Source organism: Homo sapiens, chromosome 19 (genome assembly GCF_000001405.40).
Source record: "Homo sapiens chromosome 19, GRCh38.p14 Primary Assembly".
Classification (NCBI taxonomy): Eukaryota; Metazoa; Chordata; class Mammalia; order Primates; family Hominidae; genus Homo; species Homo sapiens.
In genome coordinates, this window is record NC_000019.10 from 57,935,827 (window position 1) to 57,949,541 (window position 13,715).

A 13,715-nucleotide genomic window follows, 5' to 3' on the forward strand; every position below is an offset into this window, starting at 1 on the left:
CAGAGGCTGATAAACATTACTCTGTTATAATTCACATGAATGCACTCTTGTTACCGGATAGAATGTCTTGGCTGTGAGTTGTCCAGTTGTTGGCGCATTGAACAAAGAAGTGAACAAAACACACAAAAAAAGCAACGAAAGAACGGACCAATGAAAGCGCAGATTTATTGAGGGGAAAGTACACTCCACAGAAGTGGAATGTAGGTGTGGGAGCAGGCGACCAAGCGGCTCAAGAACCCCGATTACAATGTTTTTTAGGGTTTTATTAGGTTGGTGCAAAAGTAATTGCGGTTTTTGCCATGAATAAGCTAGAATTTTATAATACCCCAAGAGTTCTTTAAAGGCCTCCAATCCTATGAAGGACTGGTGCACAACCAATCAGAGGCTGAAGTGGAGACTTCTGTCTTGTTACCACAGGAGTGAGGACGTGGCCTGTGTGCTGCCTCATCTTGCCTAGAACTAGCTGCACCTGCTGTTCTTTTGCTTATGCCTTCATTCTTGGTTACCCTAATTCCCTATTCTCCTGCCTCACTCTGAGGCATTAGAGTTGGTTTTTCAGTCTGCCAGGGACAAAAGAGAACTAATCCAGATAGGACCATGCCAAGGAAGATAGAGGAGAGGCTAAAGAAAGAGTACAAAGGTCAATCAGTCGTTCCCATGGAAAAACAACTCTCCTGCTTATATAGTCAATTATTGTGTCCAATTCATTCAGCAAAACATTTATTCATGTAATATCCCTTACTTGGTATTCTAACTTATATTTTCAACTCATTTTAGGAACTTGAAGTCAGTCTCAGGTAAAGAACAATGAAAGAGAAATCTCAGCTTGGTATTGGTAATGGTGGTGATAATCTCCACCTGGAGACACTAGGCGTATGTTAAATTATCGAGCTTGTTATCTTTCCTGGGAAGTGATTATCATTTGTTTCTCTTGTGACAGCGGGGAGTGTTCTGCATGAGGAACTAATATGATACCAGAAAAACAGGTGAAATGCCAGTTACAGAAACTTATTACCAACGACTATCTAATAACTGCGATGACAGAAATAGGTCAATTGAAACATGAGTGGATGGTGAAAAAAATTTACACTTCACAGAAGTTTTTCTTTCTTTTTTTTTTTTTTTTTTTTTGAGACAAAGTCTCGTTCTGTCCCAGACTGGAGTGCAGTGGCGCCATCTTGGCTCACTGCAACCTCCACCTCCCGGGTTCAAGCGATTCTCCTGCCTCAGTCTCCCAAGTAGCTGGGATAACAGATGCCTGCCACCACGCCCAGCTAATTTTTGTATTTTTAGTAGAGACAAGGTTTCACCATGTTGGCCAGACTGGTCTCAAACTCTTGACCTCTGACCTGCCTGCCTCCTTCTCCCACAATGCTGACATTACAGGCATAAGTCACTGCTCCCAGCTGACTTTACAGGTGTTTGTTTGTTTGTTTGTTTGTTTTGAGAAGGAGTTTCACTCTTGTTGTCCAGGCTGGAGTACAATGGCACAGTTTCAGCTCACTGCAACCTCCTCCTCCTGGGTCAAGCAATTCATTCTCCTGCCTCAGCCTCCCAAGTAGCTGGGATTACAGGTGCCTGCCACCACACTCAGCTAATTTTTGTATTTTCAGTAGACACAAGGTTTCACCATTTTGGCCAGGCTGGCCGCAAACTCCTCACCTCAGGTGATCCACCCGAGGTGGCCTCCCAAAGTGCTGGGACTACAGGTGTGAGCCACCTCGCCCGGCCCAGAAGTTTTAACAGTGATGTCTACGAAGAGATGGAATTAAGGTCAGCATGTGATTAAAAATGTCCCCCTTGTTGGTTTTGTCATTGAGATTTTTTTTTCTTTATTAAAAACATTGAACAATACCAAGGTGGAGAAAAATTGTGCCTGTTCACCTACCTACTTGGGAGGCTTAGAGGGAGGATCACTTCTGCAAAGGAGTTTGAGGCCAGCCTGGGCAGCAGAGCAAGACTCTGTCTCCAAATAAATAATTTAATGAATAAGTAAAAACAGAAGGTGAAATCTGCAGTATAGTATTATCCTCATAGAATTGTGTCTCCCTTTCTTCATTATTCTGTGTGTCAATTATGTTACAAGTTTTTCATCTTATAGGAAAAAAGTCATAGATTCTATACACATCTGTACTTTTTCTCACTTAGCAATATGGTTTGAACAATGAAAAGCTTCTTTTTCACTTCACATTTGAAATCTGCTTATCTCCACATTCTATTTTTTTCTCCCCTTTTTGAGACAGCGTCTCACTCTGTTGCCAAGGCTGAAGCGCAGTGGCATGATCAAGGCTCAACTGCAGTCTCAACCTCTCAGGCTCAAGTGATCCTCCCATCTCAGCATTCAGGAGTAATTGGGACTATAGGCATGCACCACCACAACCAGCTAATTTTTGAGAGATGTGGTTTTGCCATGTTGCCCAGGCTGGTATCAAACTCCTGAGTTCAAGCAATCCTCCTGCCTCGGCCTCCCTAAGTGCTGGCATTATAGGATTCGGCCACTACACCTGGCCTATTCATCTTTTTCTGATGTAGAACCCACTCAGTGACAGTGTAATCAAGAATCAAGAAAGAGGCCAGATGCAGTGGCCATGCCTGCAATCCCAGCACTTTGGGAGCCTAAGGTGGGCAGATCACTTGAGGTCAGGAGTTTGAGACCAGCCTAGCCAACATGGCAAAAACCCGTCTCTACTAAAAATACAAAAATTAGGTGGGTGTGGTGGCGCACATCTGTAATCCCAGCTACTCGGGAGGCTGAGGCAGGAGAATTGCTTGAACCCGGGAGGCAGAGGTTGCAGTGAGCTGAAATCGTGCCACTGCACTCCAGCGTGGACAACAGAGCAACTCCGTCTCAAAAAAAAATAGAGCCAGAATACAATACACAAGCAACTGAAGTATTTCAACAGCAAAGAAACCCTCAAACAATCCAATTTAAAAATGTCAAACGATCTGAATAGGCATTTTTCAAAAGACAACATACAAACGGTCAAAAATATATTAAAACACACTCATCACTATCTGGGAAATGCAAATCAAAACCGCAATGAGGTATCACTCTCCCCGTTTAGGATAATTATTATCAAAAAGACAAAAACAGACGCTGGCAAGGATGCAGAGAAAAGGGAACTAATGGCCAGGTGCGGTGGCTCACATCTGTAATCCCAGCACTTTGGGAGGCCGAGCTGGGTGGATCACGAGGTCAGGAGTTCGAGACTGCCTGACCAACGTGGTGAAACCCTGTCTCTACTAAAAATGCAAAAATTAGCCAGGCGTGGTGGTGCGTGCCTATAATCCCAGCTACTCAGGAGACTGAGGCAGGAGAATAGCTTGAACCCGGGAGACGGAGGTTGCAGTGAGCCAAGATCATGCCACTGCACTCCAGCCTGGGCGACAGAGAAAGACTCCATCTCAAAAAAAAAAAAAAACCCAACAAAATACAAGAAAAGGGAACTCATGCACTGGTGGTGCAAATGCAAACCAGTACAGCCATTATGGAGAACAGTATTGAGGTCCCTCTAAAAACTACAAATATGCCAGGCGCGATGGCTCACGCCTGTAATCCCAGCACTTTGGGAGGCTGAGGCAGGCGGATCACGAGGTCAGGAGTTCGAGAACACCCTAACCAACATGGTGAAACCCCGTCTCTTCTAAAAATACAAAAATTAGCAGGGGTGGTGGCACGCACCTGTAATCCCAGCTACTCAGGAGGCTGAGGCAGGAGAATTGCTTGAACCTGGGAGGCGGAGGTTGCAGTGAGCCAAGATCACACCACTGCACTCCAGCCTGGATAACAGAGTGAGACTCTGTCTCAAAAAACAAAACAAAACAAAACAAAAAACTACAAACACAACTACCATATCATCCAGCAATCCCCCTACTGGGAATTTATCCAAAGGAAAGAAAATCATCACATTGGAGACACATCTACACCCCGTTTACTGCAGCACTATTCACAATAGCCAAAATATGGAATCAACCTAGATGTCCAACAACAGATAAATGGATAAAGAAAATGTGGTTTATACACACAAAGGAATACTATTCAAAGAACAGAATGAAATCCTATCACCTGAGGCAACATGGATGGAAATGGAGGACATTATTTAAGTGAAATAAGCCAGGAACATAAACATGCACATTCCCACTCATATGTGGAAGCTTTAAAAAAAAAAAAAAAAAGCTGGGTGCGGTGGCTCACGCCTGTAATCCCAGCACTTTGGGAGGCTGAGGCGGGTGGATCACCTGAGGTCGGGAGTTCAAGACTAGCCTGACCAACATGGAGAAACCCTGTCTCTACTAAAAATACAAAATTAGCCGGGGTGGTGGTGCATGCCTGTAATCCCAGCTACTCAGGAGGCTGAGGCAGGAGAATCGCTTGAACCCAGGAGGCAGAGGCTGCGGTGAGCCAAGATCATGCCACTGCACTCCAGCCTGGGCAAAAAGAGTGAAACTCCATCTCAAAAAAAAAAAAAAAAAAAAAAAAAAAAAAAGCCTGGGAGACAAAGCAAGACTGTCCCCCACCCCCACAAAAAAAAGTTGATCTCTTAGAAGTAAAAAGTAGAACAGAGGATACTAGAGGCTGGGAAGGGTAGTGGGTAGGCAGGAATAGACAAAGATTGGTTACAAGCTACAAAATTACAACTAGACAGGAGGAATAAGTTCTAGTGTTCTATACCACTACAGGAGAACTAAAGTTAATAATATATAATTTCAAGTTGTTAGGAGAATGGCAATTGAGACTGACTGTTCCCAATATAAAGGAATGACGAATGTTTGAGGTGATGGATATGCTAATTACTCTGATCACTCTAAGTTATAGGTATCAAAACATCACTATGTACTCCAGGAACATGTACAATTATAATTTGTCCATTTAAACACAAAGAATTTTTTTAAAAAAAGAAACCATTTGGTTTTCTGTGTGGATATGAGACAAAGTAGTATGTACACATATAAACTTATTTGTATAAAACAAAATTCAGAGAACATATACTAAATATAAAACATGGTTATTGAAAATACGTATTTATTTATTTATGTCTGTGAATTTTGCAGGGACACTTCTCAGTCCGTAACAGCCCTATGTGTGTTACCTAACCTTTATCCCTTGTGAACGTTCTGATGTTTTAGGAGGTTGGAGTTGAAGGTAAAAAATTTTCCACAGTCACTACACTCATAAGGCCTTTCCCCACTGTGAATTCGCTGGTGATTAGTGAGGTTAGAGCTCTGGCTAAAGGATTTTCCACATTCACTGCATTCATAAGGCCTTTCTCCGGTATGAACTCTTCGGTGTTTAACGAGGCTAGAGTGGTTACTAAAGGATTTCCAACACTCACTGCACTCATAAGGCCTTTCTCCGGTGTGACTTCTCCTATGTCTAATGAGGCTGGAGCTCTGGCTAAAAAACTTCCCACATTCATTGCACTCATAAGGCCTTTCTCCAGTGTGAACTCTCTGGTGTTGAAGGAGCGTAGAGCTATGAGTAAATGATTTCCCACACTCCCCACATTCATAAGGCCTTGCTCCAGTATGAACTTTCCAGTGTGAGATGAGGTAGGATTTACAGGTAAAGGATTTTCCACATTCACTGCACTCATATGGCCTTTCTCCTGTGTGAACTCTCTCATGTACAATGAGGTCAAATTTCCTGCTAAATAATTTTCCACATTCATGACATTCATGAGATCTTACTCCAGTATGAACTCTCTGGTGTTGGAAGAAACGAGATCTATAAGTAAACAATTTCCCACATTCACTACACTCATAAGGCCCTTCTCCAATGTGAAGTCTCCGGTGTTTAATGAGGTGACAGCTCTGGCTAAAGGATTTCCCACATTCACTGCACATATAAGGCCTTGTACCAGTGTGAACTCTCTGGTGTGTAATAAGGCTAGAACTATGGATAAAAGATTTCCCACATTCACTGCACTCATAAGGCCTCATTCCAGTATGAATTCTCTGGTGTGTAATGAGGCTAGAGCTATGGCTAAAGGATTTCCCACATTCACTGCACTTGTAAGGCCTTTCTCCAGTATGAACTCTCTGATGTATAAGAAGGTCATACTTCCTGTTAAATAATTTTCCACATTCATCACATTGATGAGGTCTTACTCCAGTGTGAATTCTTCGGTGCGTAATAAGGCTAGAGCTTTGCCTATAGGATTTCCCACATTCTCCACATGTATAAGGCTTTTCTGAAGTGTGAACTCTCAAATGATCACTGAGGCTACAGCTTGTGCTAAAAGATTTCCCACATTCACTGCACATGTAAGATCTTTCCCTAATGAGGTCTCCCTGGTGCTGAACACGTACATGTTTGTAGCTGAAAGCTTTCACACATTCTCCCCAGTTGTAATGATTTTTTACACTGTGAAAGGCCACTGCACTCTTGGTTCTGTTTGACTTCTTTCTGGTGTGAGCAGCCTGTTGCTGAAGAAATCTTGATCTCACCAGGAAATCCTTCCCAACCTCCTTGCAAGTGAAGGGCTTCCCAGATACTTCAAATGTGCAGCTGCTCAAAAACATGTCTCTGCCCCCATTGCTTCTGAAGTGTTTCTGTCCAACATGCTGCTTCTGGTGCTGATGAAGGTATGCAGTAAATTGTAATTGTTTCCTACATGCCCCGTCTGTATACAGTTTCTGACCATGGTGTGTTCCTTGGTGTTCAACCAAGTGCAAAATCTGTCTCAAGACTGGGCCACATATCTCACAGGGGTTGGTCTTCTGGGGAGAAGGAAGGGCCTTAGGAATCCTAACCTGTGACACCCGCTGTGGAGAAGTGCTCTGCTGATAAGGTGCCTCCTCATCCCCTGCTCCAGAACCACCTGAAAGAAAGAAAATGCTGGTGAAGAGCATGCTGACTTTAGTGGAGTGGAGGTAGCCCACAGACAAATGTGCATCCAACAAACCCAGGAACTGAGTCCATGGGGTTGTTTTCAGGACCAAGGTGTTGGGTTCAAGTTGAAGATAGGGCTGCCTAGCAGAACTGGGCCTCTAAAGATCACAGAACTGGGAAGGGCTCATGAGTTAAAAAACACAGCCATGGGATGAGAAACATGGAGAAGAGGCAGGATATACAACTCATTCCTCTAGAACAATTTTCAGTGAGATCTGCTGTCCTGCTAACACATGCATTGTGTACAGGTATGTGTCCAGGCCCAAGAAAATGTGACAACAAAATAGCGGCTGACATACGTGGACACCTCATAACATATTATGTAGAGGCCAACACTGAAGAGCACTGCAGATAAGGCAGTGAGAAAAATGGGTGAAACATGGAGTCCAGAGATGTGGGGATTAACCCCAGGCTGGAAGTAAGAGACGTAGTAACCAGGTGGACAGCTGACAAGCAAGCTAAGTATCAAGAATGGGAAAGAAAAGGCAGTAATGAGGTTTGGCCCCAAATGTCATTAGCACCAAAATATTAGTCAAACAGGATATGTTTCTGGTATGATGTGAACATAACCCTTATAGAATGTCCTCCTTTAGGTGTTAGTCCCTAGGGCCAGGCTCCCTCTGAGTCCATCTTGCTGTGGGGAATCACAGCCATCCTCAGAACCACAGGGCCTGTCCATCTGACCCCTACAATCAAGAACACGGAACTTGGAATATGCAAGCACCCAAGACCAGCCCAGAATGACTCTGCACATGATAGCCTACAGGAAAAAAAATAATAATACAAGGAGAAATTCAGAGGAGGATTTTGCAAGAGCCACTCGTAGTCCACATAAGTGGTGACAATGTCAGTGATGATAATTGCTGGCAGAGGCAGGCATGAGGAAGTGTCCCCTAGAGGAAGGAAGTAGAACCTGGGCCTTGAGGAGCCTCGAATCTGGACAATGTCACCTGGCCAGGAGAGGCAAACGAGGTGAGATCCATGAGGCCGACTATAAGAAGCCTAACTCTGAATCTTTCCACATGAAAGGGAAGCAGGTGTTGCTTGCTCAAGGAGAAAAGCAGGCAACATACAACCTTAGCCCTACCAACCGCAGCACCTGCCCAGGAACAGGAAGCTGTGTCAATAGTCCTCTTGTGAAGACACATCTGACTCTGGGGAAAGGGTAAGAGCAAAGGCTAGCTCGGGGCATAGAGGTGGGTGTGAGGACCTTACCCAGGGAGGTTGTAAGTGTCAAGTTCTCCAGCATCACATCGTGGTACAGGCATTTCTGAGCCTCATCAAGAAGACCCCACTCCTTCCAGGAGAAGTAAACAGCCACGTCCTCAAAGGTCACAATGCCCTGCCAGGATGGGGACACATGAAACCACAAACGGTTCCTCCTCTCAGGATCCATAATCCTTCCCCTCACACATTTACCCCATGCTCATCCTCTTTCCAAGCTCTCCAAGCTCCCCAGCTCAGAGGAGAAAGCAGTCAGCTGGTGCTGTTGTCTCCTAATGGGGCTCTTGGTCACTGGTTGCAGCCATCAGTAACAAGAGGCAGGTGAACAAATACATGTATCTAAGCTGTGGGCGTGGCATAAGGGCAACCACTCCTTCCTGACAAGCATTCCTCTCATATGACCAAGGTCATGTAAGTCTCAATCAGGACACTGGGGCCATCAGGCACACTCCCTCTCCAAGTGCATATCATTCATTACACTGCACATACCTCAGGTCTCCAGATCCCACTGCCACATGACCATGACCACCACTACGTCCTATACCACAGGCAAATCCTGGCTTCCCCACATGCTACCTGAGTGAAAGAGTAGATAACCTGGGCCGGGTGCAGTGGCTCATGCCTGTAATCCCAGCACTTTGGGAGGCCGAGGTGGGCGGATCACGAGGTCAAGAGATGGAGACCATCCTGGCTAACAGGGTGAAACCCCATCTCTACTAAAAATACAAAAGATCAGCCAGGCGTGGTGGCACACGGCTGTAGTACCAGCTACTCAGGAGGCTGAGGCAGGAGAATCACTAGAACCCAGGAGGTGGAGAGGTGGAGGTTGCAATGAGCCGAGATCACGCCACTGCACTCCAGCGTGGTGACACAGCGAGACTGCGTCTCAAAGAACAAAAAAAAAGAGTGGATAACCAACAGCCAAATATAAGACACGTGACATTGGACAAATGAGATCAACAGTTTATTAATTTTTTTTTTTTTTTTGAGACGAAATCTTGCTCTGTCGCCCAGGCTGGAGTGCAGTGGGGCAAGCTCCACCTCCTGGGTTCATGCCATTCTCCTACCTTAGCCTCCCAAGTAGCTGGGACTACAGGCACCCGCCATCACGCCTGGCTAATTTTTTATATTTTTAGTAGAGAAGGGGTTTCACCGTGTTAGCCAGGATGGTCTTGATCTCCTGACCTTGTGAGCTGCCCGCCTCGGCCTCCCAAAGTGCTGGGATTACAGGCGTGAGCCACCACGCCTGGCTGAACAGCTTATTAATTAAAGACAAATACTCATAGCCTGTGAAAGAATACCACACTCCACACAGGGCCATACGGAGGTAGTACTCCAGAAAAGAGTAACAACCAGGTGCTGTAGAATGTAAGTTTTGTAGCATCAAGATGGAGAAGCTCCACTGGTCCCCAGAGGAGGGGACTGGCTTGTTTGAATAACTCAAAAAATTGATAGGGAACTGAAACCCACTACAAAGTAATAAGCAGGAACTGTTCTGGTTCCCTGGATAAGAATGGATAAGAAGGGTTCATTTGGCTAAGAGAGCTTATTCATGGGAGCAAAGTGGGAAGGGGAATTTGTTCTCAGGCCATCTAAGGCTGTATCGTTTTCATCAGATGTCAAGGCGACATATCATACTGGGCCTTAATTTCCGGCCTTATACCGCAACTTGGCAGGCAGCATCCAGAGTGTGGATATAAACAGGATCCAAAATCCCAGACTTCCCACAGCTTACACTAGTGGAAGCAGCCTCAAAAATTTCTTTGAAGGCCTCCCTGCCAGGCTGTATTCCTTGCCTCAGACATAGCCACACAGAACCACAGGTGAATCACAGATAACCATGGCCCTATTCCACTTCTGTGCTGCACTTACCATCCCCTTGAGAGTCATATATCCACCTAAAGCTCATTTAAATCCCAGCCTCACTGGTCGTTCATCTCACACACAATGACTCTCACAAATGACCACATGACACTAACTTAATCTTCCAGCCTGAATGAAACACCCAGGCCCCATCAAGTTATCACAAAATCCTGGATACCCATAAAGTGGTGAATAAGCACGAGTTTTGGCCTGAGTGTCCTATGCGTTTGCATCCATCTCATGTCCATTCTTCTCTTGGGAGCCGTGGCCACTGCCAAACTACACTGTCTTTTACATACCTTGCCTTCATGACCACTTACTCTATCATCATCCTCCCAGTCTTGGCCCACTAACAGCTTTACAACCAAAACCTGGAGCTTGCCCCGCCTAACTGTGACCCACAGCTCACTAACCTTGGTGCGCACAACAGCCACATCTTGAATATCTGCACCCTGAACCACTCCCTAGATTTCAAGACCGGCACGTTCATCTGCCCACTTAACGCCTCCATTTAGTAGGCTCTGAAAGATCTGACTCTTAGCATGGCATAAACAAACCTGATATCCCTAGTGAATATTACTCCTATTGCCAATTTGTTCATCTTAGTTGATGAAACTTCTTTCCCTACAGCTGCTAATACCAAAAACCCTGGAGTCTTCTCTGAACCCTCTGTTTCACTCCCTCACCACCTACATTATGTAATTTAGTTGTCCCTTTTGAAACCACACATCCGGAATCTAACCACATCTCCTAAATCACGATCCTGGGCCAGTAACCCTCACTTGGACTAGTCTACCCTGATTTTCCTTCCTCCTCCCTCAACCCCCCAGTTTGTGCCCCACTGTGCACACAGATGAAGCCTGTGAAGACCTTGGTAAATTACCTCTTTTTTCTGATTCAAACTTGCTATTACCTCCTGAAAACACACTCAACTTCTCAGGCAGCCACTGCAGTCCTGACGCCTATCCTCCTGTTCTTTGCTTCCCACCAGAAAGCAAGGAGACTTGTGGCTTCATAAATGCACCCAGCTCCGTACTGCACCTAAGCATTTGCACATCTTGTACCTTTCTGGAAAAACTTTCCACACCCGTTCACATGGCTGCCAGAAATTGGAACAACTCTATATACCGGCTAACATGGACATAGGACCCTGGGCTTGGGGTTCACCCAAGGTCTTCAGAACTAAGGGCTGGGGGAATGGCACTCCACAACCCAGAGAACCTGTGGGTGGGAGTTAGGGCTAGTGAGAGACTGGGAAACCCTCCCCTTCCTGGCGTAGATTTCATAACCCTTTACAGCCAAGGGAAACGTAGAAAGAGCCAGGCCTCAGAGAAGAGCATCTATGGCGGTATTAGATGGGCTCAAGCCACCCCGTAGCCCCATGCCTGGCCTTGGAGCCGGGTGCCCTCGCAATGGCTGTGTCACCTCTGTGCCCCAGGGCTCAGTGGCGCCTCTCATCAGGGGCTCCTTGCCAGTCGCGCCCTCCCTTCCCTAGCACACCAGGTGTTGGAAACGGGAGCCCCTCCGGCGAGCCCCCGTGTCCTGTCCTGGGCAGCAGGGCCGCGAGCAAGCGCCCTCGGGGGTGCTAGGACTAGCGTGGGGAGGGCGGGGAAGGCCCAGAGGACGCGGCACATACCTGGGCCGGGGCCGTCAGCTCGGCCGCCGCCATCTGACTCTGTGAGCGGAGCGGGGCCAGAGAGGATGTCCTTATTCCGGGCCGGGCCTGGGTACCCTGGGCGCCGCCGAGCCTCAGCCACGCCTCTGTGCAGCGGGGAAGACTCCTCTCGCGCCTTCTCAGTCAGTCACGGATGATGCTGACCCAGCGCTCCGGGGCTTTCTACCAAGTAATCAGTCCAGACAAATGCCAAAACGACCGCCACAAGGAGGACAACGGAAGTCCCGCCGCGACCGCGCGTGCGCTTACGGAAACACCACCTTTCGGAGGCCTCATTGGCTGAAGGTCGCCGTCGCCCAACGCAGGCCATTCTGGGTAATGTTCCCACAGGCGCACGGCGGGAGAGTGAGGGTCGCCTCCACCTCCTTCCGGAAGTAAAGGCCAAACCCCTGTAGGGGGCGCTGGGAAATGGACACTCCAGGTTGGGGCGGAGGCGAGGCTTCGTTCTTTCTTAAAGGAGACGTACCCAGGTTTCTACCGATTGCTGTCTGCCAGTGTTTGTTTGGAGACGTGTCATTTCATGTGTTCCCAGAGGCACATATCCAGATGCACATATTATTACATACAGTCAGTCAGTCACAAAATATATCCACTGGTTGAGAAAGCAAATAAATATGACTATGTTGCGGCCGGGCGCGGTGGCTCACGCCTGTAATTCCAGCACTTTGGGAGGTCGAGGCGGGCGGATCACGAGGTCAGGAGATCGAGACCATCCTGGCTAACTCAGCGAAACCCCGTCTCTAAAATACAAAAAATACCACAAAAAAAAAAAAAAAAAGAAAAATTAGCTGGGTGTGGTGGCGGGCGCCTGTAGTCCCCAGCTACTCCGGAGGCTGAGGCAGGAAAATAGCTTGAACCCGGGAGGCAGAGCTTGCAGTGAGCCGAGATCGCGCCACTGCACTCCAGCCTGGGGGAAAGAGCGAGCCACTGTCTCAAAAAAAAAAAAAAAAAAAAAAAAAAAAAAAGACTATGTTGCAATTCAAACGCATGCACTCAAGCACTGGAGTCAGTTTTCTCAGTCTCTGTATGTTTGATTAGGGACAAGAAAAAAAACACTCCACACAGGTTCATGACAAAGAGGATGAAGGTGGGATGCGGAGGCACCCTGCAGCAGCAGGACATAAGTAGATCCCTGTCTCTGGGTCCCTCTCGTGCCTGTGTAGTCAAACATTGTGTCCAATTCACTAAGCAACACTTGCATGAATCTAATCTCACTTTCTCCATGCCTTTATATTCACTTCTTTTTAATAATTTGACATCAAGCTCAGAAAGAGAACAACAAAAGGAATGGTATTTTGAAAAGGCATGATGGCTAGCTAGAGCATTAACAGGTGGAACAAAGGGTGCTCTGAATCCCAAATGTAGGGTGTATCTTAAATTCAAGATCTCTTCTCAACGCTGAAATGATTATCTTTGCCCCCATTAGTTACGCTCTTGTTGCCCAGGCTGGAGTGCAATGGTGCGATCTCGGCTCACCACAACCTCTGTCTCCCGGGTTCAAGCGATTCTCCTGCCTCAGCTTCCCAAGTAGCTGGAATTACAGGCGCCCGCCACCGTACCCGGCTAATCTTTTTTTTTTTTTTTTTTTTTTGTATTTGTATTTTTAGTAGAGACGGAGTTTCGCCATATTGGCCAGGCTGGTCTCGAACTCCTGACCTCAGGTGATCCACCCACCTCGGCCTCCCAAAGTGCTGGGATTACAGGCGTGAGCCACTGTGCCCGGCCCTTTGCCCCCATTATTATAGGGCTGTTCTGCATAAAAAATTGATACGATATCAGAAAAAGAATTGTAAAATACAAATTACAGAAAGCTACTAATAATGGGTGTCGCTTCGCCAGCCAGAAACCTCTGTGGTCGCGCCTCTGCTTGAGTTTTGCTCACACCCGCTGGGCTTGTTCCACCCACTCGGCCCAGCAGGCTGCACCTGGATCCCACACCTACCAAGGGCGAGCCAGGCGCGGAGCCGCAAGGGGTGTGTGAGCGAGCAAGTGAAGGGTCCAGCCAGTGCACACAGCCAGGCACGCTGGCTGCTGCGGCGGGGCGGGCAGCTCCAGGCGCTG

The 13,715-nt window shown here is 46.9% G+C and overlaps 1 protein-coding gene across 2 annotated transcripts, besides 3 other annotated features; it reads right to left on the reverse strand.

Moving 5' to 3' along the window:
• Positions 1-5,006: 5,006 nt before the first annotated feature.
• Positions 5,007-11,880, reverse strand: ZNF256 (zinc finger protein 256). Of its 2 annotated transcripts, NM_005773.3 has the most exons (3): positions 11,616-11,880; positions 8,108-8,234; positions 5,007-6,821 (listed from the first exon to the last, which is right to left on the reverse strand). In NM_005773.3, exons 1-3 carry the CDS (start codon positions 11,646-11,648, stop codon positions 5,098-5,100), a joined length of 1,884 nt encoding a protein of 627 aa, NP_005764.2. In that variant the 5' UTR covers positions 11,649-11,880; the 3' UTR covers positions 5,007-5,097. The 2 variants fall into 2 exon arrangements, with proteins under 2 accessions (NP_005764.2, NP_001362332.1); NM_001375403.1 differs by lacking the exon at positions 8,108-8,234.
• Positions 11,289-11,368: an enhancer, noted in NCBI's record as "active region_15172". NCBI's record gives its function as "activates an Ori minimal core promoter by ATAC-STARR-seq in GM12878 lymphoblastoid cells {active_cell/tissue: GM12878}" and the evidence as "EXISTENCE:reporter gene assay evidence [ECO:0000049][PMID:35858748]".
• Positions 11,859-11,958: an enhancer, noted in NCBI's record as "active region_15173". NCBI's record gives its function as "activates an Ori minimal core promoter by ATAC-STARR-seq in GM12878 lymphoblastoid cells {active_cell/tissue: GM12878}" and the evidence as "EXISTENCE:reporter gene assay evidence [ECO:0000049][PMID:35858748]".
• Positions 12,029-12,118: an enhancer, noted in NCBI's record as "active region_15174". NCBI's record gives its function as "activates an Ori minimal core promoter by ATAC-STARR-seq in GM12878 lymphoblastoid cells {active_cell/tissue: GM12878}" and the evidence as "EXISTENCE:reporter gene assay evidence [ECO:0000049][PMID:35858748]".

Coding starts and splice junctions, on each gene's coding strand:
- ZNF256 (NM_005773.3), bottom strand. CDS start 11,648: ATGGCGGCGGCCGAGCTGACGGCCCCGGCCCAG. Junction 8,235..11,615: donor AGCTGACGGCCCCGGCCCAG/GTATGTGCCGCG, acceptor CCATCCTGGCAG/GGCATTGTGACCTTTGAGGA. Junction 6,822..8,107: donor GACACTTACAACCTCCCTGG/GTAAGGTCCTCA, acceptor TCTTTCTTTCAG/GTGGTTCTGGAGCAGGGGAT.